Source organism: Homo sapiens, chromosome 2 (genome assembly GCF_000001405.40).
Source record: "Homo sapiens chromosome 2, GRCh38.p14 Primary Assembly".
Lineage (NCBI taxonomy): Eukaryota > Metazoa > Chordata > Mammalia > Primates > Hominidae > Homo > Homo sapiens.
In genome coordinates this window covers 121,179,348-121,185,347 of record NC_000002.12, presented here as the reverse complement: position 1 = coordinate 121,185,347, position 6,000 = coordinate 121,179,348, and positions in this window count along the sequence as shown.

Genomic DNA, 6,000 nt, shown 5'->3' with positions numbered 1-6,000 from the left:
CAGCTATGGGTCAGAGAAGTTAGCCTGCAGGACTGTTGGGAAAGTTGCAGCTGCATGCCTGGGTCTTAGCACGGTGCCATGGCCGTGAGAATTATAATGTGGCTGCCATGGTCCAGGCACTGAATGAGCTCAGAGGACCCCTTGCACAGTGCCTGACCAGGTCAGGCCAAGCATCGTGGACAGAGCCGGGGCCACATCCTCTCTGTGCTTAAAGGCCAAAGTCAGCACACCCACCTCTTCCATGGACCTCTCTTAAATTCTTCAAGTCCTCCTTGTGGCCCCTCCTCCAAGCTTCTAGATCCCATGTCACCTATTCCATTCTTTTTAGCTCTTAATCATGGCAGGGGACATTTGCTATTGGATGGAGAGGGGGCTACCCAGTATGTTTGCCCCCTTCTTATTTGAGAATAAGGCCCTATGATGTGAGTATTGGCAGGAGATAAGCCACCCACTGTGGAAGCTGAAGGGGCAGGCATTCTCTCACCTTGTTCCTGGGCAAATGGACCCAGATGTGGCTAAAAGGACACTTCCATCCAGGACTCAGACTTAGGTGGGTGACATTAAGTGGAGGGAAAATGAGATGCCATTTCCTGTGGCAGTGTCCACAGGTGGCAGCAGTGTCCACAGGTGGCAGCAGTGGCCCTGGTGTCCCTCTACGGCGGGAGCATGAGCTTCTGGTGGGCCTTCCCCACAGGCCTCCAGGTGGGACCATGGCCAAGCTTTTGCCCCTGGGCCTCCCTTGGTGGCTGCCCACTTCCTAAGCCCGTTCTCCCACCTTCCTGTCAATTCTCAGCTCCTCAGTCACCAGCGTTGGGTTTCTGTTGCTTGCACACCCAACATGCACGTTTGCCTTTGCATAACACCAGCTGTTCCAGGTGAGCAAATAATCTTCCCCACTGGACTTCACCCCCTGGGGGCAGAAATGCTGCCTTACACTGTGGTGTATCACCCAGTAAGTGCCTCCTGGTGCAGGCCATCTGGTGAGGGATGCTTGGACTCGGCTGCCAAACACATCTGCGATAGGATCCAGGTTCTATCATTTACTAAACTGGGGCTCTGAGTAGTTATTTACTCTCCATGAGCCTTGGTTTTCTCATCTATAAAATGGGCACCTACTTCCTAGGATCTTGACTTAAGAAAGTAGACATGAGTATTGTGATGGTGGTGGGGTTGGTGGGGAAGAGAGAACAGAATTTAGGCTGCTCGTAAACCAGCTCTCATGCTGGGACTGGTCTGGGAATGAGGACTGGGATGGGGGCAGGGGTGAGGCTCCAGGATGGGGGTCTGAGGGCCTATGGTGGGCAGAGGCAGGGTGCCTGGTAATTAATTCTATTTTTCTTATTGTTAGATTTGCACTTCGCCATCTTTGCTATTTAAATCTTAGTTGTTGATGGAAGTTTCCAAAGGCTTATATTGCCTCTCCTGAAACAAAACACGAGCTCTTTGAGGAACAAGACTTTGTATTTTCATCTTTGTACCCTCACAGCACCTAGTACGTTGTAGTTACTTAATACAGTTACTTAATACATATTTACTAATTAGATTCTAATTCTGCAGGGTCAGTAGGTTTCATGCTGCCTGGACTTTCCAAAAAGGATGTTTGCTGACGGGATGGCTTGTTGGAGGAGGAAGATTCTGTAGAAATTCAGTTCCCTTGTATGTTCCCAGCCTCTGGCAGGAGTTGGGGATAAAATTGAGCCCGTGGTACAATGGGGAGACAGGTAGGTATTTACTGTCATTACAGAGTCATCTGTGTTTAAATAATTATTTAGGAATGCATATACTCTGTTGTTCAGCCTATCCCTTAAGCCAGGTATCATACAAGTGCTCTAAATGTCTTCTCTCATTGAATTGTCACAAAGCTCTTCGAAGGTAGGTGTTATTATCAACCTGATTGTATAAAAGTAGAATTTGAGGCTTAGGGGCCTGCCCAAGTTCAAATAGCAAGTAAATAGTGGAGCCAAGGTTTGAACCCAGATGTGTCTGACCCCCAAATCCATTGCCCTAACCACTGCTTTGTGCTACCTTGATAGAGACAAACTCCTTGTTCAGGAAACCCAGAGGAGGGAATACCTGAATTGGCCAGGAAAGTCCAGGAAGCCTTCCTGGAAGAGGAGGTGCTTAGACTGAAATTTTAAAAAACCACACTTTTAAATGGACATGTTCAAACACCCGCAAAAGTAAAGAAGATATGAAATAAATCTTTAAGAAACGAGGCAGAGTTGGGGAACAGGTGCCTGCCAGAGTCCAGGATTGTTAAGCCTTGTGCATCCTGGGGACACTCAGAGACAGGTAGGAGGCCTTGCAGAGTGTAAGGTGTGACCAGAGGCAGTGTAGGGGTCAGATGGAGCTGCAGCGGTGGACACCCCTTTGGAGCTTGAGTTACTTAATTCAGAAGATGGCTGTTCCTTATGTTTGGACTTCCACCCATTTGTTTGGGGCAAAAAGAAAGCATCGGCACGTGGCACATGGCAGGTGAGGAAACGTGCTGTTTTTGGATTTCCCCAGCAGTGGGTAGGTAAATAATTTCTTGCAGTTTGGCACAGTTGGGTTCAAGGGTGAGGACTTCAATCTTTCAGCACTGATGGTTTGAGGCAAGTGATGGGAATCTGAGTCACTCTTGCAAAGCCTTAGTTCAGGGGAGGCTGAAGGACTTCATGGGAGCTGGGGCAGGCAACAGAACTGGGTAGAGCTGGGTGTGGCCCTGGGTTTTACAGCCATGGTCCCTGGGCAAAATCGTTTTCCCTCTTGGCATGTTTAGACAACAGAGATGGTTGTTGCTTGGATTAAAAAAGGTTTTATGGTTGGTTATAATTTTTGACATTGGAAATGTCCCCACGTGTGGTGGAGTGGTCAAACTTCCTGAAGAGCAGAGGAGGAGAAAATTTCCTGGGATGTCTACAGCAACAGAAATTGTCACTACGCCAGGATACAGCCAACATCACCATGTACCTGGCCTAGGGGCAATTTTGCAGTGTTCAGACTAATTTTTCCCCCTTTTTTCTTTTCTTTTATCTTTTAAGATTTATGTAGAGCCACTTTTGCTGTGTTGCCCAGGCTAGTCTCAAACTCCTGGCCTCAAGCAATCCTCCCTCCTCGGCCTCCCAAAGTGTTGGGATCATAGCCCAGCCCAGACTCATTGTTCATTCATTCTCTTACTCATCCACTTATTTCTTCTACTTGTTCACCCCTGATTTATGGCCTTGCCTTTGTTCTGGTAATTTTTCTGTTCTGATGTCCAGGTTTATACCTAGATGAAGAGAAAAGAGAAATAGCTAAGAAGGAATTCTCTGACATTCCTTCTTAATTTCCTCTGCCAGCCTGTCTTTCTCAGGTGAGGCTTTAAGTATTTTGGCAAGCAAAGAAACACAAAAGACAAAGCATAGCTGAACTTCACTAGCATGTGTGATAAAATCACTCAGTCTCCCTGTGGGCAAGGTGAAGGGAATATACTTTATTTACTTTAGCCGCATCCCACAAATTTTAATACTCTATGCTTTCATTCAGTTAAAAATACTTCCTAATTTGATCTGTGGTCTCTCCCTTTCCCATGAGTTATTTAGAAGTGTGTTGTTTGGTTTCCAAATGTTTGAGTATTTTCCAGAAAATTTTCTATTACAGATTCCTAATTTAATATCATTATGATCAGAAAACATACCTTGTGTGATTTGAAAACTTTTAAATGTATTGATACTTCTTTTATGGATTACAGTATTGTCTGTTTTGGTAAATGATTCTTGGGGACTTGAAAAAATTATATTTTCTTGTTGCCATTGTTGGGTGGAACGTTCAATTAGTGTAGTTGCTAGTGTTGTTCAAGTCACTGTATAGTTACTGATTTCCTGTCTACTTGTTCTATGAATTATTGAGAGAGAGATATTGAAATATCTAATGATAATTGTGAATTGGTCTATTCTTTAAGTTCTACCAGTTTTTCATTTATGTTTTTTTCAAGCTCTGTTATTAGGTGCATATTTAAAATGATAATGTAATCTGGAAGTAGTGGGCCCTTTATCATTTAAATAATGGCCTTCTTCATCCTTAGTAATATGATTTGCTTTGAAATCCATTTTTTTCTGATATTCATAGATCATTCTAGTATTCTTTTGATTGTGTTAGCATGGTATATCTTCTTTCATCCTTTTGCTTCTGACTTATTTGTGTCTTTATATTTAGAGTGCAATTCTGGTCAACAGGCTATAGTTGGGTCTTGCTTTTTTATGGCAAAATATACACAACACAAAATTCATCATTTTAACTATGTAAAGGGTACAATTCAGTGGTATTTAATACATTCACAGTGATGTACGACCATCATCATGTTCAAGAACATTTTCATCATACTACAAGAAAAAACTCTGTACCCATTGAGTGGTCACTCCCCATTTCCCACTCCCAGTCCCTGGTAACCACTATTCTACTTTATGTCCCTGTAGACAAGTTAAGCAATTTGAACTTTTAGTGGAGATGCCTAAAATAATTTTTTCATAAAGTCCAATAATTTTACTAGAATATATCTTGATATTGGCCATATATTTTACTTTTCCTAGGTATGTGATAATGCTGTTTCACTATGTAGTTATAAAATATTTTATTTCAGGAACATTTTCTTGAATTACAGATTTTAGTGTTTGCTGTCTTCCATTCCTCATGTTCTTCTTGAGAGCCTCTTATTACATATGTTAAATCTTCATTGCCAATCAGTTACTTTCTTTGAATCCTTTGTATCTCTTTTAAAATATTAAAAAACATTTTCCTCTCTACATTCTATTTATCTGAAGGCATCACTGTACTTGTTCTTTCTTGTTTTCTTCTAATGTAATCTTCATTTTTAAAAAAGTCTCTTTTTTCTAATTATATCCTGAGTTCTGCCCATCTCAAATCTTCCTATTCGCCAATCACCTCATTTATAAGGTTTTAAAGTTTTAATTTATATTGTTCTTTAATAATTTTTGTCATTTTCATAACATATTTTACTTGTTTTTAAAATTAGATAATTTTTATGTCTTTCATACATGTCTTTCATATGTGTTTCGTTGCCTTGTGTATTTCAATGTTGGGTATATTTATTGTCCTTCTTATTTTATTTTATTTTTTGAGATGGAGTCTCCCTCTGTTGCCCAGGCTGCAGTGCAGCGGTGCAATCTCAGCTCACTGCAACCTCTGCCTCCTGGGTTCAAGTGATTCTCCTGTCTCAGCCTCCCGAGTAGCTGGGATTACAGGCATGTGCTACCACGCTGGGCTAATTTTTGTATTTTAAGTAGAGAGTGGGTTTCACCATGTTGTCCAGGCTGGCCTCAAACTCCTGACCTCAAGTGACCTGCTCACTTCTGCCTCCTAAAGTGCTGGGATTACAGGTGTGAGCCACCGTGCCCAGCCTATTGTTTTATTCTTATATATTCCTATAGTACTCCCTATTCTTTTATTTCCTCAGGATAAACTTCCTATGGCGTTTGACTGTGATTATTTTCTGTTGCTCACTTTGCATATGCAATGAATTTTCTTTGTTTCTAGGATGGAAAGGCGTGCTAGGATAGCTTTTTAAGCTTCGTGCCAAAGCTCCCTCTTAGGTTTTTCTAACACATTTATTTATTTACTTACTTATTTATTTTTGAGACTGAGTCTCGCTCTCTAGCCCAGGCTGGAGTGCAGTGGCGCAATTTTGGCTCACTGCAACCTCCACTTTCCGGGTTCAAGTGTTCAGGACGGGGTTTCACCATGTTGATCAGGCTGGTCTTCAACTCCTGACCTCAGGTGATCCACCTGCCTCAGCCTCCCAAAGTTTTGTGATTACAGGCGTGAGCCACTGCGCCCGGCTTCACAAAGTAATTTAAAATGTGGCCTCCTATTTTCTGAGCTCTGCCTACTTTGCGCCCCTCCTCTACTTTAATCCAAACTTTCTTTTCTCATTGCTTCTATTGTCCCTGTCCTACTCAGTTTGGATTCTGTTCCCATCTGTTTCTTCTCAATGTGGATCTTTGTCTGGGGAAAGAGATTTGA